Raw genomic sequence first — 23,105 nt, 5'->3', positions numbered from 1 at the left:
AGGCACTAATCTTGTTCCTGGGGAGGCAGTAGATAAAAGACAAATATGAGGAGACTGGATATTTGATTCCAGATAGCCCCCTTTTTTTTGACACAAAGTCTCAATCTGTCACCCAGGCGTGCAGTGGCAGGATCTTGGCTCATTCCAACCACTGCTCCTGGGTTCAATCAATTCTTGTGCCTCAGCCTCCCAAGTAGCTGGGACTACAGATACGCACAGACATGCCCGGCTAATTTTTTGTATTTTTTTGATAGAAAGGGGGTTTCACCATGTTGGCCAGGCTGGTCTCGAACTCCTTGTCTCAAGTGATCCACCTGCCTTGGCCTCGCAAAGTTCTGGGATTACAGGCACGAGCCACCGCGCCCGGCCCAGACAGCCCTTTTTTGTTGTTGTTGTTTGTTTGTTTGTAACAGGTCTTGCTCTGTAGTCCAGGCTAGAATGCAGTAGCATGATCATAGCTCACTGCGGCCTCAAACTCCCGGGCTCAAGCTATCCGTCCCTAGTAGCTGGGACTACAGGCATATGTCACTACACTCAGCTAATTAAAAACTTTTTTTTTTTTTTTTTTATAAACAGAGGGTCAGCCAGGCATAGTGGCTCATGCCTGTAATCCCAGCACTTTGGGAGGCCGAAGTGGACAGACCACTTGAAGTCAGGAGTTTGAGACCAACCTGGCCAACATGGTGAAACCCTGGCTCTACTAAAAATACAAAAATTAGCCAGGTGTGGTGGCACGTGCCTGTAATCCTCTACTCAGGAGGCTGAGGCAGGAGAATTGCTTGAACCTGGGAGGCGGAGGTTGCAGTGAGCCAAGATGGCGCCACTGCACTCCAGCCCCAGCCTGGGTGACAGAGCAAGACTCCGTCTCAAAAAAAAAAAAAAAGGCTGGGCTTTGCAGCTGACGTCTGTAATTTCAGCACTTTGGGAGGCCGAGGCAGGTTGATCACCTGAGGTCAGGAGTTCAAGACCAGCCTGGTCAACATGGTGAACCCTCGCCCCTACTAAAAATACAAAAAAAAAATTAGCTGGACATGGTCTGTACTCCCAGCTACTCAGGAGGCTGAGGCAGGAGAATGGCTTGAACCTGGGAGGCAGAGGTTGCAGTGAGCCAAGATCATGACACTGCACTCCAGCCTGGGTGACACAGTGAGAGACTCTGTCTCCAAAAAAAAAAAAAAAAAAAAAAAGACAGGGTCCAGTTCTGTTTCAAGTTCAAGGTCAGGCTGGTCTTGAAATCCTGGCCTCAAAAGATCTTCCTGCCTGTGGCTCCCAAAGTGTTGAGATTACAGGTGTGAGCCATTGTTCCCTGTCCCCAGATAGCTCTTTTAAAGCCTCATTAACATTCTATATTTATAAGTGATATTAGTAATCACACATTTGTGAAATTACCTTGCCTGAAGAAAACAGAAATTCAAAAATGGTTTTTGCTTCACCCTCTCCCTCCAATGTCACTGCCCTCCCATCTGGTCCTTAAGTTTAATTTTCTGTTGCAGAATTTGTTTTTTAAGTGGCCACTGCTCACCCTTCCCTCTTCCCCTCTGTTCTCCATCTGCTTTTTACTTTCTGTCCTTTCCCTCCCAAGATTGATGGCCTTGGCACATGTGACTGGATCATTTTTTTTTTTTTTTTTTAAGAGATGGAGCCTCACTCTGTCACCCAGGCTGGAGTGCATCGGCACGATCTCGGGTCACTTCAACCACTGCCTCCTGGGTTCAAACGATTCTCCTGCCTCAGCCTCCTGAGTAGCTGGGATTACAGGTGTGCGCCACCATGCCCTCCTAATTTTTGTATTTTTAGTAGAGATGGGTTTTCGCTATGTTGACCAGGCTGGTCTTGAACTTCTGACCTCAGGTGATCTGCCCGCCTCGGCCTCACAAAGTGCTGGGATTACAGGCATGAGCCACTGCGCCTGGCCTTGTGCTAATTTTTTTTTTTTTTTTTTGAAAAAGAGTCTTGCTCTGTTGCTCAAGCTGGAGTGCAGTGGCGTGATCTTGGCTCACTACAACCTCCACCTCCCGGGGTCAAGCGATTCTCCCACCTCAGCCTCCTGAGTAGCTGGGATTATAGGCACCTGCCATCATGCCCAGCTAATTTTTGTATTCTTGTAGAGATGGGGTTTCCCCATGTTGACCAGGCTGGTCTTGAACTCCTGACCTCAGGTGATCTGCCCACCTTGGCCTCCCAAAGTGCTGAGATTACAGGCATGAGCCACAACTCCCAGGCCCTTGTGCTGATTTTTGAAGGCAGTTGAGGAAGCGGAGAAACAGAGGCAGCAATCTTTGGTGTTCTCCACTTGTAGATGTATCATTCCAACCTTTGCCTCCTTCTTCACATTACCCTCCTCTCTATGTTTCTCTGTGTCATATCTCTCTTTCCCCTTCTCTTATAAGGACACTTGTCATTGGGTTTGGACCCATCCTACATCCAGGATGATCTCATCTCTCAAGTTTCTTATTGTTGACTGGGTGCGGTGGCTCACACCCGTAATCCCACCACTTTGGGAGGCAGAGGCAGGCAGATCACCTGAGGTCAGGAGTTTAAGACCAGCCTGGCCAACATGGTGAAACCCCGAATCTAAAAAAATATAAAAATTAGCTGGGCATGGTGTCAGGTGCCTGTAATCTCAGCTACTCGGGGGGCTGAGGCAGGAGAATCGCTTGAACTCAGGAGGTGGAGGTTGCAGTGAGCAGCAGAGATTGCACCATTGCACTCCAGCCTGGGCAACAGAGCAAGACACTCCCTCAGGAAAAAAAAAAAGCAGCTGGGCGCGGTGGCTCACACCTGTAATCACAGCACTTTGGGAGGCTGAGGCGGGTGATCATGAGGTCAGGACTTCCAGACCAGCCTGGCTAATATGGTGAAACCCTGTCTCTACTAAAAATACGATAATTAGCTAGGTGTGGTGGTGTGGGCCTGTAGTCCCAGGTACTCTGGAGGCTGAGGCATGAGAATCGATTGAACTCAGGAGGTGGAGGTTGCAGTGAGCCGAGATCATGCCACTGCACTCCAGCCTGGTTGACAGAGTGAGACTCCATCTCAAAAGAAAAGAAAAGAGAAAAAAGAAAAGAAAAAGAAACATAAGGCCGGGTGCAGTGGCTCATGGCCTCTAATCCCAGCACTTTGGGAGGCCAAGGTGGGCAGATCACAAGGTCAAGAGATTGAGACCATCCTGGCCAACATGGTGAAACCCTGTCTCTACTAAAAATACAAAAAAAAAAAAAAAGAACATAGCTGGGCGTGGTGGTGCACCCCTTTAGTCCCAGCTACTCAGGAGGCTGAGGCAGGAGAATCGCTTGAACTCCGCAGGCAGAGGTTGCAGAGAGCCGAGATCATGCCACGGCACTCCAGCCTGGCGACAGAGTGAGACTCCAACTCAAAAAAAAAAAAAGAAAGAAAAGAAAAAGAAAAAACACAATAGATGGAATAGAACTGCAGAAAAATATGGCAAACACATTATATCTTTTTTCAAAAATAAAAATTAAAAAATTGCTCAAGGGATCCACCCACCTTGGCCCCCAAAGTGCTAGGATTGCAGATGTGAGCCACCACACCTGGCCAACACATTATATCTCTAACATAAAAGAGGTTCTATAAATGGATTTTAATTAAATTAATTAATTAATTAATTTATGTTTTCTGTTTTTGAGATGGAGTCTAGCTCTGTCACCCAGGCTGGAGTGCAGTGGCACTATCTCAGCTCACTGCAAACTTCGTCTCCCAGGTTCAAGCAATTCTGTCTCAGCCTCCCGAGTAGTTGGCACTACAAATGCCCGCCACCATGGCCGGATAATTTTTGTATTTTTAGTAGAGACGGGGTTTCACCATATTGGTCAGGCTGGTCTTGAACTCCTGACCTCAGGTGATCTGCCCGCTTTGGCCTCCCAAAGTGCTGGGATTACAGGAGTGAGCCACAGCACCCGGCCATGCATTTCTATTATTTATTTATTTATTTATTTTTGAGACAGAGTCTTGCTCTGTTGTCCAGGCTGGAGTACAATGGCGTAATCTCAGCTCACTGCAACCTCTGCCTCCTGGGTTCAAGCGATTCTCCCACCCCAGCCTCCAGAGTAGCTGGGATCACAGGCCCGCACCACCACGCCCAGCTAATTTTTGTATTTTTAGTAGAGACAAAGTTTCACCATATTGGCCAGGCTTGGTCTCAAACTCCCGGCCTCAGGTGATCCACCCGCCTCGGCCTCCCAAAGTGTTGGGATTACAGGTGTGAGCCATCATTCCCAACTTATTGTGTTTTTTCTTTTTCAAAACTTATCACTGTGAGGTCATGCAAAACCTTCAAAATATTTATGTAGGCAAATATTTTTCTTTTTTCTATAATGGTTCTGGGCTTCCTGTCTTGCTTAAAATTTCTGCCTCATTGGCCAGTAATCACATCACTTTTGGGAGGCTGAGGCGGGCAGATCACGAAGTCAAGAGATGGAGACCATCCCGGCCAACACAGGGAAATCCCGTCTCTACTAAAAAACAAAAAATTAGCCGGGCATGGTGGTGCGCGCCTGCAGTCCCAGCTACTTGGGAGGCTGAGGCAGGGGAATCCCTTGAATTCAGGAGGCGGAGGTTGCAGTGAGCCGAGATTGTGCCACTGTACTACAGCCTGACGACAGAGCAAGACTCCGTCTCAAAAAAAGAAAAAAAAAATTAGGCGTGTGTGGTGGCGGGTGCCTGTAATCCCAGCTACTCTGGAGGTTGAGGCAAGAGAACTGCTTGAACCTGGGAGGTGGAGGTTGCCATGAGCTGAGATGGTGCCACTGCACTCCAGCCTGGGCAACAGAATGAGACTGTCTCAAAAAAAAATTTTTTTTTCCTCTTAAGTTTCTGTTTTGTAAATTTTTATATTTTTTAATTCTTCTGGATTTTTTTTTTTTTTCCTAGACAGGGTCTTGCTCTATTTCCCGGGCTGGAGTGCAGTGGTGCTACCGTGCTATCTCGACTCACACCAGCCTCGACTTCCCTCGACTTCCTGGGTTCATATTATCCTCCCACCTCAGTCTCCCAAGTAGCTGGGACAACAGATGCACATCACCACACTCACGTCATTTTTGTCAGTCTCGCCATATTGCCCAGGCTAGGTGTGAACTCCTGGGCTCAAGTGATCTGCCCACCTCGGCCTCCCAAAGTGTTGGTATTACAGCCTCTTCTGGAATTTATTTTTCAATGTTCTTGCTTTAAATCGAAAGTCAATTAAAACCAGGATCATTGGCCGGGCACGGTGGCTCATGTCTGTAATCCCAGCCCTTTGGGAGGCCGAGGCGGGCTGATCACCTGAGGTCGGGAGTTCGAGACCAGCCTGACCAACGTGGAGAAACCCCGTCTCTACTAAAAATACAAAATTAGCCAGGCGTGGTGGCGCATGCCTGTAATCCTCAGGAAGGCTGAGGCAGGAGAATCGCTTGACCGGGGGACGCAGAGTTGCGGTGAGCCAAGATCGCGCCATTGCACTCCAGCCTGGGCAACAGTAGCGAAACTCTCATTCAAAATAAGTAAATAAATAAAAAATAAAAAAACTAGGATCATTTCTCAAATAAACTATTGGTTTGTCACTTAATTGATTTGTCACGTTTGCTTTTTATTATGTTGTACTTCTAGATTTTATCCCTGACTACTCAACTATTTGTCCAGGGTAATATAGGAGCATTACGTTAGAATATACTAGCTTTGGAGTGAGTTAAAATGTTGGTTTTCAGTAAGTAAAATTTAAGTGTCCCACTAGAAAGAGGACTGTGATTTTTCGCGGTTGGGGTCAAAGGTAACAGGAAACAAGGTAGGCAAAAAGGGGTAAAGTTTAAGGCTCTGCAGACAAATGTTAGGTGTTGTTACTGCAAAATTGAACAAAGAACAAGAATCTTGGGCTTGAAAGCCTGGACTTTTCCCTAGAAACAACCATTCACAGTGTAGGGACTGAAGGGCCAGCTGTGAGGCAGCCGAGCTAGCGCCCTATCCTCACAAAGGGAGTGAAAGACGGAGACGGGTATCGGGAAAAAAATAAGTGCTGCGTCCAAGAATTTAGGAGTCAGTCCATGTCGCAGAACAGGGAGAAGGGCTGGGAAGAAAAGGCCAGCAAGGAACCTAGGAAGAGCGGAATCTCTCGGGAGGAGGTTATGGAGGCCGCAGCGGGTGATGGGTCTCTCCTGAAGGCGACTTGCCGGGGATTCCCTATTCCGCAGTCCTCTGGGAGTCGCAAAGAGAGTTAGGAAAGGCCGTGCAGCAGCGTCGCAGCCGGGCTGGCAACGGTAGAGGAATCGGCAGTGAGGCCTCTCCCCACACCCTGCCAGCCCAACTGCCGCCGCCGCCGCCGCCGCCACCGCGGGGCCCGGGATTGGCCCGAGGGCGGCGCAGGGCGGGGCGGGGGCTGCTGGGATGCAGGCCTGAGAGGCTGGCGCGCGCGCACACGGGCGCGGGTTCGGCGGCGGCGCGCGCGTGCTCTGTCGGCCTGTGCGGCGCTGCGGCGGAGCGGGCCATGGCAGTGGGGAGGGGGCGAGTGTAGTGCTGCGCGGGGCAGGCGGGAGGTGATCGAGAGAGGCAGGGATGGGGGCGCCGGAGTGGAGCGGTTGCGGCGGCCTGGGCTGCTGACTGCGCACTTGGAATAGTAGCAGGCGGCGGCGGCGGAACGCCAGGCAGGTGAGTGCGGCGGCCGGGACCCGGATGCGGCGCGGCTGAGGGGCGGCTGGGTCGCGGCGCCGGCTGCGGTGCCCCCGGGCGTGCTGGCGGTGCGTTCTAGCTTGCCGCTACCTGCGGCGCTGGCGACTCTTGTGGTTGCACCGCGCTTCCTGCCAGCTTGGAGGATAACCGCCTACCGGCCGGTGGGGGCGTCTGGCTTGGTTGCGGCCCGCCCTGGGCTCTCCAAGGTGAGTGGCGCCCCCCGGCCCCTGGGCGGCAGAGACGCTGCCGGGCGTCCCGGGTCACTGTCGCTTTGGGTCCCGTTCCTGAGGGGCGTTTCTGTGGAGAGACGGCGTACTCGCGCCCCGCGTCTATGCGGACACCTCCGGAACTTCCCGACCCTCAGGTGCCTTTTTGCGCAGAAGTGTATTTCAGAGGCGTGGACCCAGGGTTATTAGGTTATGGACATGTTTTCGAATCCCAACGCCGCTGCTGACCAGTCCTGGGGCCTTGGGCCAAAATATCCTGATGTGTTAAATGGAAATAATAATACATACACCATAAGGTTGTTGTGAGGTTAGGCATAACTGAACAAGTGCTAAGTAAATGATACCCCTGCTGCAGCATCTCGTGTTAGCTATTGCTAATTCCTGGCTGCTGGCGTGCGTTTGGGGGCACATTTATTTCCGATCTGCTCTGGTGTTGCAGTAACCGATACTGGAGTTGCTTAATATTGGAGCCTGTTAACCTCGCAGTGGCCAAAATAGAATCCTATAGTCCCTTACTAGAATCCTGCAGTCTCTTCCCGCAGGGCTGAATTGGAACCCTGTCTCAGGTACTGAGTGGGAATTACTGCTGAAATGAAACCGAGCAAATTCGGGATTCGCTTAGGATGAAAGATGGTGGGACGTAAACTTGAAGTGCTTTGCTGTTTCATCTCAAGTGACACTTGAACTCTGCCACTTGTTACAGAGTTATAAACACACGAAGAGTATGGAAACAGACTCTTTTTTCTGCATTGCTACATCCAAAGGGAGTGACAAGTGCTTTTGTAAACATCATTGTGGGCAGTGTGACTGTCTGGTGAAGTCATGATAATTAAATGAGTACTTATTTTGAAGCACTGAATGGAAGTTTGGAGATATGATTCGTAATAAAATTGTCTCCAACGAGTCAGAGGTCTCAGCAGTTCATTAATCATTTGGGGATTTTTATGCTACATTGTAAGATTTTATGGTAAAAGCAGAACTGTTTAAGTCATAATAATGTAGCACAGGAAAGGGTGGTCAGATAAGGATCTTAACCCAGTTTCAGAATGCAGGTATGGAAGAAAGTAAAGTCTTTTTTCTGACCAGGTGCGTTGGCTCACGCCTGTAATCCCAGCACTTTGGGAGGCCGAGGCGGGCGGATCAATTGATTCCAGGAGTTCGACACCAGCCCAAGCAACATGGTGAAACCCCGTCTCTACCAAAAACACAAAAATTAGCAGGGCGTGGTGGCGGGCGCTTGTAATCCCAGCTACTTGGGAGGCTGAGGCAGGAGAATCCCTTGAACCCGGGAGGCGGAGGTTGCAGTGAGCCGAGATGGCACCACTGGACTCCAGCCTGGGCAACAGAGGGATACCCTGTCTCAAAAAGAAAAAAAAAAAATCTTTTTGAGACCGAATCTTGCTTCTTTTTTAAAAAAAAATTATTGTTGTTTTTTGAGGCAGGGTCTCGGTCTGTCGCCCAGGCTGGAGTGCAATGTCGCCATCTTGGCTCACTGCAACCTCCGCCTCCTGGGTTCAAGCGATCCTCCTGCCTCAGGCTCCCTAGTGGCTGAGACTACAGGGGCGTGCCACCACGCCTGGCCAATCTTTCAATTTTGTTTTTTTTTTTTTTTTTTTGAGACGGAGTTTCGCTTTTGTTGTCCAGGCTGGAGTGCAATGACGCGATCTCCAGCTCACCGCAACCTCCGCCTCCCGGGTTCAAGCGATTCTCCTGCCATAGCCTCCCGAGTAGTTGGGATTACAGGCATGTGCCACCACACGCGGCTAATTTTGTACTTTTTTTGGTAGAGACGGGGTTTCTCCATGTTGGTCAGGGTGGTCTCGGACTCCCAACCTCAGGTATCCGCCCGCCTCGGCCTCCCAAACTGCTGGGATTACAGGAGGAAGCCACCGCGCCCGGCCCAATCTTTGTATTTTTGGTAGAGAGGTGGTTTTGCCATGTTGGCCAGGCTGGTCTTGATCTCCTGGGCTCAAATGATCCGCCAGCCTGGGCCTCCCAAAATGCTGGGATTACAGGCATGAACCACCGCGACCGGCCGAAAGTAAAAATCTTAAAGGTTTAAACTGGAATTGTATTCACTAAAGCCAAAATGACTTAAGAAGCAAAAATCTAATTTACACCCCTGATTCACACCCTGAGTCCACCACCTTCGGAGTGTTTTTTAGAAGTGTTGAAAATCAAGTCGGGTTTTGATTTGTCATTTTGCACCTCTTGCCTATCTTTCTTGGTGTTCTTAAAGACTCATCCATAAAGGCTTTTGCTTCAACTTGCTTTGTGAATGTCAGCCAACTATATGGAAAAAAGTGAAAAATGAACACTGTAGTCTAAATTATGTTCTTTCTTGAGGTTTTCCCAGTTGTCTAGCTTAGACTGTTGAACTCAACAGTAGAACTACTGCTAGCCACTGTGAAAAGGCTGGGAGTCAGAAGTCACCTCTTGGTTTTAGGCCTCAACCTGGGTAAAAACAGCTGGGGCTATGGGGATGTTACCCAGTCTTATGGGCCTCTGTTTTGTTTGTTTGTTTGTTTTGAGATGGAGTCTCTCTCTGTCGCCAGGCTGGAGTGCAATGGCACGATCTCTGCTCACTGTGACCTCCCGGGTTCAAGCGATTCTCCTGCCTCAGCCTCCAAATTAGTTGGGACTACAGGTGCACACCACCATGCCCCGCTAATTTTTGTATTTTTAGTAAACATGGGGTTTCACCATATTGGCCAGGATGGTCTCAGTCTTTTGACCTCGTGTTCCTCCCGCCTTGGCCTCCCAAAGTGCTGGGATTACAGGCGTCAGCCACTGTGCCTGGCCCCAATAAATAAATTATTTATTTTTATTTTTTATTTTGTTTTTATTTATTTACTTATTTAGAGACTGAGTTTTGCCCTTGTTGCCCAGGCTGGAGTGCAATGTGCAATCTTGGCTCACTGCAACCTCCGCCTCCCCGGTTCAAACAATTCTTCTGCCTCAGCCTCCCAAGTAGCTGGGATTACAGGCACCCGCCACCACGCCCAGCTAATTTTTTGTATTTTTAGGGGTTTCTCCATGTTGGCCAGGCTGGTCTTGAACTCCTGACCTCAGGTGATCTGGCCGCCTCGGCCTCCCAAAGTGCTGGGATTACAGGCGTGAGCCACTGCGCCTAGCACTATTTTTAATTTTAATTTAATTTAATTTTATTTTATTTTATTTTATTTATTTGAGACGGAGTCTCACTCTGTTGCCCAGCCTGGAGTTCACACCTCCTGGGTTCACGCCGTTCTCCTGTCTCAGCCTCCCCAGTAGCTGGGACCATAGGTGCCCGCCACCACGCCTGGCTAATTTTTTGTATTTTTTTTTTAGTAGAGACGGGGTTTCACCGTGTTAGTCAGGGCGGTCTTGATCTCCTGACCTCGTGATCCGCCCGCCTTGGCCTCCCAAAGTGCTGGGACTCCAGGCGGGAGCCACCGCGCCTTGCCCCCAATAAATAAATAAAATACTTAACTGAGGAAAGTGAGTTCCTGCTTTATTATTATTATTATTATTATTATTATTATTATTATTATTATTATTATTTTGAGACGGAGTTTCGCTCTGTTGCCCAGGCTAGAGTGCAGTGGTGCGATCTCGGCTTACCGCAAGCTCCGCCTCCCGGGTTCACGCCATTCTCCTGCCTCAGCCTCCCAAGTAGCTGGGACTACAGGCGCCAGCCAACACGCCCGGCTAATTTTTTTGTGTGTTTTTAGTAGAGACAGGGTTTCACCGTGTTCACCAGGATGGTCTCGATCTCCTGACCTCGTGATCCGCCCATCTCGGCCTCCCAAAGTGCTGGGATTACAGGCGTCATCCACTCCGGCCCCTGCTTTATTATTTGTGTATTCTCTTGGACTTGTTCCTTTTGATTTTTTGTTTTGTTTTGTTTTGTTTGAGACGGAGTCGTGCTCTGCCGTTCAGGCTGGAGTGCGGTGGCGCCATCTTGGCTCGCTGCAACCTCCGCCTCCCGGGTTCAAGGAATTATCCTGCCTCAGCCTCCCGAGTAGCTGGGATTACAAGGCGTGCGCTACCACGCCTGGCTAGTTTTTTTGTATTTTTAGTAGAGACAGGGTTTCACCATATTGGCCAGACTGGTCTAGAACTCCTAACCTCAGGTGATCCGCCCACCTCGTCCTTCCAAAGTGCTGGGATTACAGAGGTGAGCCACCGCGCCTGGGCCCCTTTTTTTATTTATAGAATTTGGCTTACCGTGGTGGGCAGGGGGTGGTTGTGGTGGTGTACTAGAAAATCACATTATGTAAAGGAACCTTCTAGGATATTCGAGTTTTATGGCTTTCCTCCTCTTCACTCTCTTTGACTTTTCCTTCTCTTGTTGAGTTCAAAACATTCTAATGCCCCAGGGCTTCCGGCCTGTCCCTATTCCTTTCTCTACCTGTATTCTTTCTGAATGATCTCATGTTGTCCTGTCCTGTGGTTTATTTATTTATTTTTAGTAGAGAAACTAAAAATAAGTAAATTGTTGTCAACTGCTGTTGCCTCTCAAGATTTTTATCTCCAGTCCTGAACTTCAGTCTTCTGCCTGCCTACATGACACCTTCATTTCGTCTGTTTTTAGGCGTCTTTCAATGTAATGGGTTCGCATGGATCTCTTAATTCCCATTCTTATTCCTTCCCTAGCAGTTTTCTTTCTTCTTTTTTGAGATGGAGTTTCGCTCTTGTTGCCCAGGCTGGAGTACAGTGGCGCAATCTCGGCTCACTGCAACCTCCGCCTCCTGGGTTCAAGCGATTCTCCTGTTTTAGCCTCCGAAGTAGCTGGGATTATAGGCGCACGCCACCACGCCCGGCTAACCCTAGCAGTTTTCATGTCGTAGCACCCCGCTGCCCCACTCACCATCCTGTTTGAGTGTAAAATCTAGTGGTTATGTTTAATTTATCCCTTTGTCTCATCCTCCCTCACTGTACGCTCAGCCAATCCTTGAGCACACTCTAAATTTTATCTCCAAAATATATCCCACATATGTTTATTTTCATTTCCACTACCCCAGTTCTTCCTGGGTAGTACCTTCCTAACTGGTCTCCTTGCCTCTGTTCTTACTCTATTTTTCACACAGCAGTCGGAGTGATTTTTACTTATTCTCCTGTTCCAGTGGATTCTCATTACACTAAGAAGTAAATCCAAACTTTATCTGCATGTCAGCGAATTGTTTATTTTTATTTTATTTTATTTTTAAAATAGAGATGGGATCTTGCTATGTTGCTCAGGGGTCTTGAATTCCTAGGCTGAAGCAATCCACCCATCTCAGCCTTTATTTATTTTTATTAAATTTTCCTTTATCTGTCATAATCTGTTTGAGTGCTAAAAAATAAATAAAATAAAAAAATTTGGCCGGACACGGAGGCTCACGCTTGTAATCCCAGAACTTTGGGAGGCTGAGGTGGGCGGATCACCTGAGGTCAGGAGTTCGAGACCAGCCTGGCCAACATGGCAAAACCCCATCTCTACTAAAAATACAAAAAAAAAAAAAAAAAAATTAGCCTGGTGTGGTGGCATGCGCCTGTAATCCCAGCTATTCTGGAGGCTGAAGCAGGAGAATCGGTTGAACCTGGGAGGCGGAGGTTGCAGTGAGCCAAGGTGCACCATTGCACTCCAGCTTGGGCAACAAGAGTGAAACTCCGTCTCAGAAAAAAAATAAAAAATAAAAGATAAAATTTTTTTAGAGGCGGGGTCTCCTTATGCTGCCTAAGCTGGAGTCCAGTGGGCATTCACAGGTAGTATTATAGGGCACTACAGCCTTGAACTCCTGGTCTCAAGTGATCCTCCTGCCTCAGTCTCCCCAGTAGCTTTAGGCACATTTCACCTCTCCCAGCTTGCTTATTTTATTGTTCATTTATTTATGGTCTTTTTCCTCCAATATAATATAAGCTTCATGATGGCAGGGACCTTGTCTTCCCTGGAGTATTTTCAGGAACCAGAACAATGCCTGGAAAATTTAACTAATGGGGCTGGGCGCTGTGGTTTACGCCTGTAATCCCAGCATTTTGGGAGGCCGAGACGGGCGGATCACAAGGTCAGGAGATCGAGACCATCCTGGCTAACACCGTGAAAACCCGTCTCTACTAAAAATACAAAAAATTAGCCGGGCGTGGTGGCGGGCGCCTGTAATCCCAGCTACTCGGGAGGCTGAGGCAAGAGAATGGCGTCAACCCGGGAGGCGGAGCTTGCAGTGAGCCGAGATCGCGCCATTGCACTCCAGCCTGGGCGATAGAGCGAGACTCCATCTCAAAAAAAAAAAAAAAAAAAGGAAATTTAATTACTGTTGAATGAATAAATGTAGGAATGAAATTAGTTCTAAAATCTTTTGATTGAATGTACAATGTATATCCTGAACACACTTCCCCCTTTTTTTGGTTCCGGATTTGGGCAAATTAGACAGTAACCAGAGACCCTAGAGTTATTATTCTATCAGGTACCTTTTTTTGTTTTGTTTTGTTTTTTTTGAGACGGAGTCTCGCTCTGTCACCCAGGTTGGAGTGCAGTGGCGCGATCTCAGTTTACTTCAAGCTCCGCCTCCCAGGTTCACGCCATTTTCCTGCTTCAGCCTCCTGAGTGGCTGGGATTACAGGCGCCCCCACCACGCCCGGCTAATTTTTTTTTTTTTTGTATTTTTTTAGTAGAGACAGGGTTTCACCGTGTTAGCCAGGATAGTCTCGATTTCCTGACCTTGTGATCCGCCCGCCTCGGCCTCCCAAAGTCCTGGGATTACAGGTGTGAGCCCCCGGGCCCGGCCTTTTTGTTTTGTTTTTGAAGAGACCAGGTCTGGTTCTGTCACCCAGGCTGGAGTGCAGGGGCACAATCGTAGCTCACCGTAACCTCGAACTGCTGTGCTCAAGTGATCCTCCTGCACCGGCCTCCTAAGTGGTTATTAATAGTACTATAGGCATATACCATCATGCCTGCCTGGCTAACTAAAAAAAAAAAAAATTTCTTAGGTAGAAGACACAGGCTCTTGCTATGTTGCCCAGGCTGGGTCTCATGCTCTTGGCCTCAAGCCATCTTCCTGCCTTGGCCTCCCAAAGTGCTCTGATTACAGGCTAGAGCCACTGAACCCAGCCTTCTATTAGGCGTTCTTAACTCTCTCAATCTTCGTTAAGGTGCTCTACCCCTGAAAAGACCAAGCCTTTAGACATTAAGCAATTAATGACAAAAACGAGTGTGAATTTTGTTCACTGCGTCCTGAATCATTAGTCTTTTTGAAAATAAGGAACCAAACAAAACCACCTTGTTTTGTCCTTTTGAGGCCTTGAATTTTGGTCTTGACTGAAGGGGACTGGTTTTAGGATGTGGTAGTTTGATCCTGTATTCAATCGTATTTAGTATTTTTAGAGATCAGGAATATTTATTTATTTATTTATTTATTGACCGAGTTTTGCTCTTGTTGCCCAGGCTGGAGTGCAATGGTGCAATCTCGGTTCACTGCAACCTCTGCCTGCTGGGTTCAAGCAATTCTCCTGCCTCAGCCTCCCGAGTAGCTGGGATTACAGGTGCCCACAACCACGCCCAGCTAATTTTGTATTTTTAGTAGAGACGGGGTTTTTACCATGTTAGTCAGGCTGGTCTCGAACTCCTGACCTCAGGCGATCCGCCTGCCTTGGCCTCCCAAAGTGCTGGGATTACAGGCATAAGCCACTGCGCCTGGCCAGGAATTTTTAGTTTAATTAGACAACTTAGTTTTTGAATCTGAGACCCTCCCATTGCACACGTGTGTGAGAGAGTGTATGTGTTGTAAGAATGTATGTGTATGTATGCTCTGAACTATTTGGTTTAGAGTTACCATATCTTTTTTTTTTTTCTCATTAAACTTTGTTTTGATGGGTCTCAAAATTCTGTGACCGATTTTTGGTCCAGTTGTTTCCATTAAAAACTACTGATTTTAAAAGTTAATAATTTAAAACTGCCACATGCCAAAAAAAAAAAAAAAAAAAAAACCCAAATGGTCCATAACACATTCTCCTTTTCTTCTGAGGGGTTTACAGTGCATTGTTATCATTAACCAGTCATTTACTATTAAACCTAAATGGCTGATTGAAACAAACATTTCTGAGGCTATTCTTCCACCACTGATTAAGACTCAGGTGGCAGGTATTAGGGATAATATTCATTTAGCCTTCTGAGCTTTCTGGGCAGACTTGGTGACCTTGCCAGCTCCAGCAGCCTTCTTGTCCACTGCTTTGATGACACCCACGGCAACTCTGTTTCATATCACGAGCAGCAAAATGACCCAGAGGAGGATAGTCCTAGAAGCTCTCAACATACATCGGCTTGTCAGGAACCATATCAACTATGGCAGCACCACCAGACTTCAAGAATTTAGGGCCATCTTCCAGCTTCTTACTAGAATGGTGATCAATCTTTTTCCTTCAGGTCAGCAAACTTGCAAGCTGTGTAAGCTGTGTGACAATCCAGTACAGTGGCATAGCCAGCACTGATTTGGCCTGAATGGTTCAGGATAATCACTTGAGCAGTGAAGCCAGCTGCTTCCATTGGTGGGTCATTTTTGCTGTCACCAGCAACGTTGCCGTGATGAACATCTTTGACAGACACATTCTTGACATTGAAGTCCACATTGTCTGCAGGAAGAGCTTCACCCAAAGCTTCATGGTGCATTTCAACAGACTGCTTCAGTTGTAACATTGACTGGAGCAAAGGTGACCACCATTCCGGGTTTGAGAACACCAGTCTCCACTTGGCCTATAGGCACAGTACCAATATCACCAGTTTTGTAGACATCCTGGAGAGACAGATGCAAGGGTTTGTCAGTTGGATGAGTTAGTGGTAGGATGCAGTCCAGAGCTTCGAGTAGCATGGTTCCCCTGGCATTGCCATCTTTATGGGTGACTTTCTATCCCATGAACCAAGGCATGTTATCACTTGGCTTCAGCATGTTGTCACTGTTCCCACCAGAAGTTGGCACAAATGCTACTGTGTCGGGGTTGTAGCCAATTTTCTTAATGTAAGTGCTGACTTCCTTAATGATTTCCTCATATCTGTATTGGCTGTAGGGTGGCTCAGTGGAATCCATTTTGTTAACACCAATTAGTTGCTTCACACTTCAGCATATAAGCCAGAAGGGCATGCTGACAGGTCTGCCCATTTTTGGAGATACCAGCTTTAAATTCTCCGACACCAGCAGCAACAATCAGAACAGCACAGTCAGCCTGAGATGTCCCTATAATCATGTTATTGATAAAGTCTCTGTCTTCTTGAGCATCAGTGATGGTCACGTAATACTTGCTGTTCTCATATTTTCATAGGGAGATACCAATGGTGATACCATGTTCATGCTCAGCTTTCAGTTTATCCAAGACCCAGGCATACTTGAAGGAGTCCTTTCCCATCTCTGTAGCTGCCTTCTCAAATCTTTTTTTTGACAGGGTCTCACTCTGTCACCCAGATTGGAGTGCAGTGGTGCAATCGTGGCCCACTGCAGCCTTGACCTCCCCAGGTTCAAGTGATCCTTCCAGCCTCCCAAGTAGCTGGGAGTACAGGCATGCACCATTATGCCCAGCTAACTTTTTTTTTTTTTTTTTTTTTTGGTATTTTGTAGAGGCAGTGTTTCACCATGTTGCCCAGGCTGGTCTCAAACTCCTGAGCTCAGGTGATTTGCCTGCTTGGCCTCCCAAAGAGCTGAGATTACAGGTGTGAGTCATGGCACCCAGCCTAGGATCTTTCTTTTTGTGACCCCCCTTCTCCCCGAGAATGTATATCTCCTTCATTTCTTTTCTTTTTTTTCCGAAGTGGAGTTTTGCTCTTGTTGCCCAGGCTGGAGTGCAATGGCGTGATCTTGGCTCACTGCAACCTCCGCCTCCCGGGTTCAAGTGATTCTCCTGGTCTCAAACTCCAGCGTCAGGTGGGTCCACCTGCCTGGGCCTCCCAAAGTGTTGGGATTACAGGGATGAGCCACCGCGCCCGGCCATATCTCCTTATTTTCTTTTAATAGCTCCTCAGATATTTAGCAGATCACCTGAGGTTGACCCTTTAACTGGGAGTAGCTGGCTTACTGCTGGAATCAAGAATGTGAATCTCAACAGTCATCTCCTATATTATAGTATTGCTAGAGATAGGTCTGCAGCTCAGAATTCTCCCCAGTGTAAACCCAAGGACAGCATCCCTGGTCCTGTAGTTTGTCTTCTGGTGCTTCAGGCATTCAGGAGACCACCAGGCAAATGCTGATTTGCCCTCAAGGGAAATGCGATCCTGATTATCCATGCCTGCAGGGGGAGGATTATATGGATTAAACTAAATCCATGGGTAATCCAAAGGCTTTGTTTTAAACTACAGTTTAACCACATTCCTGACCACAGTTTTTTCTTGTATTTCTAATAACTAATTTATAATATTTACTGATTTCAAATTTATCTTCTTCTCCTGCCACTTAGAAGTAATGGCAGTTGTGAAGTTGAGAAAAGATGGAAGGAGTTAGATAACCAGCAGATGATTTGGTATTAACTGGGTGGTTTAGCTACAGTGCTTTCTAGACCATGAAGACCTGAATTCCATGAATTCCTTACCTGCTGAGTCATTGGTAACTGTCAACAAGAGCTCAAACTCCATTTTGATACATTTGTACTTTACTTGCTTAAATGAATGAGCTCTTGTGATTTAAGTAATCAGTATTTCAGATGATCAGAATTATAACCCGATTTGAAGTTTTCCTTTACTGTTTAATAAGTTAGCCTACTGATAGTTTTTTTATTTTAAAAAAATTTTTTCATTATTATTTTTTGAGACAGAGCCTCGCTCTGTCGCCAGGCTGGAGTGCAGTGGCGCCATCTCGGCTCACTGCAACCTCTGACTCCCTGGTTCAAGTGATTCTCCTGCCTCAGCCTCCCGAGTAGCTGGCATTACAGGCATGCGCCACCACGCCCAGCTAATTTTTGTATTTTTAGTAGAGACGAGGTTTCACCATGTTGCCCAGGATGGTCTCGATCTCCTGACCTCGTGATCTGCCCACCTCTACCTCCCAAAGTGCTGGGATTTCAGGCGTGAGCCACCTTGCCCGACCGTTGCTTTTTTTTTTTTCTGTAGCCAGTCTACTACTACATCTGACAAGTTACGTGTTCATAGTTATACAATAACTATTCATATTTCATTAAATAGTTGAAATATGATCACTTAAAATTGTTTATTCTTGATTTAGTATAGGCCTTGTATTTATTTATTTATTTTTTTAGGGATGGGGACTTGCTGTGTTGCCCAGCTGGCCTGTAACTCCTGGGCTCAAGCGATCCCCCCACCTCAGGCTCCAGAGTAGCTGGGACCATGGGCAGGTGTTGTATTTAGATTCTATTAAAGTCAGTGTTTTCTTGTAGCTTCATAAACCATTACAAATTGTTGCCATTGTGTTATCTGAAAAAAAATGTAGTTTGTTAACTAAAACGTTTTTCTGCAGTGATAAATATCGGCTTGAACCCAGGAGGCGGAGGCTGCAGTGAGCCGAGATCACGCCACTGCAAATATATATATATATATTTCATGTATATATATTTCGTATATATGTTTCATGTATATTTCATATATATATTTCATGTATAAATATTTCATATATATATTTCATATATATTTCGTATATATATTTCATGTATATATATTTTGTATATATATTTCATATATATATATTTGCAGTGGCGTGATCTCGGCTCACTGCAGCCTCCGCCTCCTGAGTTCAAGCCGATTCTCCTGCCTCAGCCTCCCAAGTAGCTGGGATTATAGGCGCATGCCACACGCCTGGCTGATTTTTGTATTTGTAGTAGAGATGGGGTTTCACCGTGTTGGCCAGGCTCGTCTCGAACTCCTGACCTCAGGTGATCCACCCACCTCAGCCTCCCAAAGTGTTGAGCCACCGTACCTGGCTGCAGTTACGTATTTTCTTTTTCTTTTTCTTTTATTTTTGAGACGGGGTCTCACTGTGTCGCCCAGGCTGGAGTACAGTGTCGTGAACTTGGCTGAACCTCCCAGGTTCCAGCTGTTCTCCTGCCTCAGCCTCCTGAGAAGCTGGAACTACAGGTGCATGCCACCATGCCCGGCTAACTTTTGTATTTTTTAGTAGAGACAGGGCTTCACCGTATTGGCCAGGCTGGTCTCGAACTCCTGATCTGCCCTTCCTGACCTTGTGATCTGCCTGCCTCGGCCTCCCAAAGTGCTGGGATTATAGGCGTGAGCCACCATACCCGGCCTAGTTATATATTTTCAAAAGTCAAGTTCCATATTTATGAGCTAGTTATCATTCCCCTTAAATTTTGAGCAAGAGTTCCTGGGGATAGCCAACTGGAATTCTTTTTTTTTTTCTGGAGACAGGGTCTTGCTCTGTCACCCAGGCTGGAGTGCAGTGGAACCATCTTGGCTCTCTGCAGTGTGGACCTCCTGAGCTCAAGCGAGCCTCCCCAGTATCTGGGATTATAAGTGTGTGCTACCACATCTGGCTACTTGTTGTATTTTTCATGGAGAAAGATTTTGCCATGTTGCTCAGGCTAGTCTCAAACTTCTGGGCTTGAGTGATCTGCCAGCCTCAGCCTCCCAAAGTGCTGGGATTACAGGTGTGAACCAAAGCACCCGGCCAAGCTGTCTTAACTCTTGATGTGCACATTCACTCACCATTCCATTATTAATATTTTTCCTTTTTTTATTTTTATTTTTATTTTTTGAAATGGAGTCTTACTCTGTTGCCCAACCTGGAGTGCAGTGACGCCATCTCGGCTCACTGCAACCTCTCCCTCCCAGGTTCAAGCGATTCTTCTGTGTCAGCCTCCCAAGTAGCTGGAATTACAGGTGCCTGCCACCACTCCCAGCTAATTTTTGTGTTTTTAGTAGAGGTGGGGTTTTACCATGTTGGTCTGGCTGGTCTTGACCTCCTGACCTCAGGTGATCCACCCATCTCGGCCTCCCAGAGTGCTGGGATTACAGACGTGAGCCGCCATGCCCAGGCTATTAATATTTTTTCTAACTGAGGAGCTTCTGGGTTTTAGGTCTTCATTTTGCTCACAAGTATTGTCTAATATCTCTGTAATTTGTACATGATGGTCCAGTGGCTCCTGACCTCAGGTGAGCCACCCGCCGCAGCCTCCCAAAGTGCTGGGATTACAGGCATGAGCCACCCTGCTCAGCCCTGAGCATTAATTTTTTTTTTGTTTTTTGTTTTTTTTTTTGAGACGGAGTCTCGTTCTGTCGCCAAGCTGGAGTGCAGTGGCACAATCTCGGCACACTGCAACTTCCGACTCCCGGGTTCAAGGGATCTCCTGCCTCAGCCTCCTGAGTAGCTGGGATTACAGGCACGCACCACCACGCCCAGCTAATTTTTATATTTTTAGTACAGACGGGGTTTCACCATGTTGGCCAAGATGGTCTCGATTTCCTGACCTCGTGATCTGCCCGCCTCAGCCTCCCAAAGTGCTGGGATTACAGGCGTGAGCCACCGTGCCCAGCCCCCATTAATTCTTTTTGTAGGCATTATCCTATTGGTATACTCACATGTGTGGAAAATCATGTATGGTGAAGGCTATTTGTTGCATTATTGTTTATAATGGCAAAATTCCTGAAGTAACTTAAATGTTTTTCACTAGGGGAATTACTTTAAAAAAAATAGGACGTTCCTATGATTGAATGCTCTGTAGCCATTTAACAGAATGAAGAAAGTGGACCAGGCACGGTGGCTCATGCCTATAATCCCAGCATTCTGAGAGGCCGAGGTGGGTGGATCATCTGAAGTCAGTAGTTCTAGACTAGCCTGGCCAACATGGTGAAACCCTGTCTCTAATAAAAGTACAAAAATTAGCCAGGTGTGGTGGTGCGCACTTGTAATCTGAACTACTTGGGAGGCCGAGGCAGGAGAATTGCTTAAGCCCCGGAGGCAGTGGTTGCAGTGAGCTGAAATTGCACCACTGCACTCCAGCCTGGGCAGCAGAGCAAGACTCCATCTCAAAACAAACAAACAAACAGAATGAAGAAAGTGTTTATGTACTGATGTGGAATCATTTTACCACATAAATGAGTTAGGTTAAAAAACCACAAAGGTGTGGTTACAATATGTGGGGAATACTATCATTGTTATTACATTTATTCCTATTAATGAGTAATGTAATAATATTGTAACAGGAAATTCTGAGGTGATGTTTGAATTGAGATGTGAAAGGTGAATTATGTAGGTCAGTGTTTCTCATCTGGGGTTGACTGATGTTTAGGGGCTGTTTCAGGAATGAGAGCAGGGGACGATTTTAGCTTGTACAATTATTGGGGGATATATTAGCATTTAGTGTGCAAAGGCCAGTCATGTTAGCCTTAGTAATATAAAGTGTGCAACAGTCTTGCAAAGCAAAGATTTGTTTTGTGTCCTGTAAGATCATCAATTTTCAGTTCACATAGGTGAAAACCTATTTGTTTTAGTCCGTAACAGTGGATCTCAACTCTGGCTGCACATCAAAATCACTTGAGAAGGCTTTATTGATTGATTGATTGATCGAGACAGAGTCTCGCTCTGTTGCTCAGGCTGGAGTGCAGTGGCACAATCTCAGCTTACTGCAGCTTCTGCCTGAGGTTCAAGCGATTCTCCTGCCTCAGCCACCCAAGTAGCCCGAGACTACAGACACTTGTGACCATGCCCAGCTAATTTTTGTATTTTTAGTGAAAATGGGGTTTCACCATGTTTTCCAGGTTGGTCTCAAACTCCTGGCCTCAAATGATCTGCCCGCCTTGGCCTCCTAAAGCGTTGGGATTACAGGTGTGAGCCACACCATGCCTGGCCTACTTAGGAAGTTTTTAAAAGATGATGAGGCTGTACCTCATACGAATTATATAAAAATCTTTGAGATGATACCTCGGCATCAGTATTGTTTAAAAATGTCCTTCTTATTCTAATGTATAGCCCAGGTTGAAACCATTGCCTAAATCCTAACTTCATTTTACACATAAACAAAATATAAAAATGGCATGGTTTTAATATTCAGTTTTCCCAGAATTCACCTTCTTTGGAAATCTAGAGGAGATTATGCTTTAGTTTGTTCAGAACTTTACCAAGAGTTATCTTTCTAAAATTTAAAATTTATGTCACCAGTGGCATATGTTGGTAGTGATTTTTTTTTTTTTTTGGAGACGGAGTCTCACTCTGTCGCCCAGGCTGGAGGACAATGGCGCAATCTCGGCTAACTGCCATCTCCGCCTCCAGGGTTCAAGTGATTCTTTTGCCTCAGCCTCCTGAGTAGCTGGGACTACAGGCACGTGCCACCACGCCTGGCTAGTTTTTGTATTTTTAGTAGAGACGGGGTTTTACCGTGTTAGCCAGGATGGTCTCGATCTCCAGACCTTGTGAACCACCCACCTTGGCCTCCCAAAGTGCTGGGATTACAGGCGTGAGCCACTGCGCCCGGCCCGGTAGTGATGTTTAATCACCAAGACAATATGTGCACATCAGTCTGCCTTTGTAGCTGTGATATTCAGTAATTTTAAGTTTAGGTTTAAGCTTCGACTACCTTTTTATGACTTATAATGTAGTCGTACCAGAGCATTTACCATTAGCATATATATAATTTTGTACTAAGTTATATTCCTTTTATTTCTCTTTATATTACAGTTAAGACTCTATATAACATATACATATATGTAACTAAAGTTTTGTTTAGTTTGTATTATGTATACATTTTGTTTCCAATGGTAAAGGGATGTTATGAAATATTTATTATTTTAAAAAAGGAAGCATTGAGTCCAGCACATGGGAAGGCTCTTTAGCAGGAGGGAGCCTGGCATTTTGGAGGAACTAAAAGGAGGCCATTCTAGCCTGAGAGGAGAGAGTGAGGTCAAGAGGTGTGTAGGATAAGGGTGTAAGATGAGCCAAAAAGAGAGGTAGAGTCCATGCAGCACCTTGTAGGCTGTGGGAAGGATCTTGGAGAGTTGTTTGACTGGAACAAAAGCTGAGGCATTGTGAGCTGTAGAGTTGCTTGACCAAGTGGAATTTATAGCTGAAATGGACATTAAAGAGCATATAGTTAAACCATCTTGTTTTACAAATAAGAAAAAGGAAGTTAGGGGAACTTTCCCAAGGTCACACAGTGAATAAATGAGCTAGAGCCAGAACTTGATGACACAGTTCTTTGTTTCTGCCTGACTGCCAGGCAGAGGAGTTAGATTTTAGACATTTAGGAGCATATTGGGTTTTGAGCGAGAGAATTCCAGGATGGAGATGGCTGCATGGCTGTGTGCAGGCTGGAGGCAGT

The 23,105-nt window shown here is 46.6% G+C and overlaps 1 protein-coding gene and 1 pseudogene across 13 annotated transcripts in view, besides 1 other annotated feature; one reads left to right on the top strand and one right to left on the bottom strand.

The window, feature by feature from the left end:
- Positions 6,167-6,906: a silencer, noted in NCBI's record as "silent region_14766". NCBI's record gives its function as "represses an Ori minimal core promoter by ATAC-STARR-seq in GM12878 lymphoblastoid cells {active_cell/tissue: GM12878}" and the evidence as "EXISTENCE:reporter gene assay evidence [ECO:0000049][PMID:35858748]".
- Positions 6,403-23,105, top strand: part of PIK3CB (phosphatidylinositol-4,5-bisphosphate 3-kinase catalytic subunit beta) — a 182,231-nt gene continuing 165,528 nt past the window's right edge. For 9 of the 13 annotated variants that reach the window (NM_001437290.1, NM_001437286.1, NM_001437289.1 and 6 more), the window contains exon 1: positions 6,403-6,636. The gene's annotated coding sequence lies outside the window, so the exon portion shown is untranslated. Of the gene's footprint in view, positions 7,022-23,105 lie in introns of all 13 variants that reach the window. The other 4 variants (NM_001437291.1, NM_001437288.1, XM_047448309.1 and 1 more) reach the window with 3 other exon arrangements.
- On the bottom strand, positions 14,821-16,291 carry EEF1A1P25 (eukaryotic translation elongation factor 1 alpha 1 pseudogene 25; annotated as a pseudogene).

This window comes from Homo sapiens, chromosome 3 (genome assembly GCF_000001405.40).
Source record: "Homo sapiens chromosome 3, GRCh38.p14 Primary Assembly".
Lineage (NCBI taxonomy): Eukaryota > Metazoa > Chordata > Mammalia > Primates > Hominidae > Homo > Homo sapiens.
Note: the sequence above shows the minus strand (reverse complement) of the source record. Positions and strands in the feature narration are given on the sequence as shown.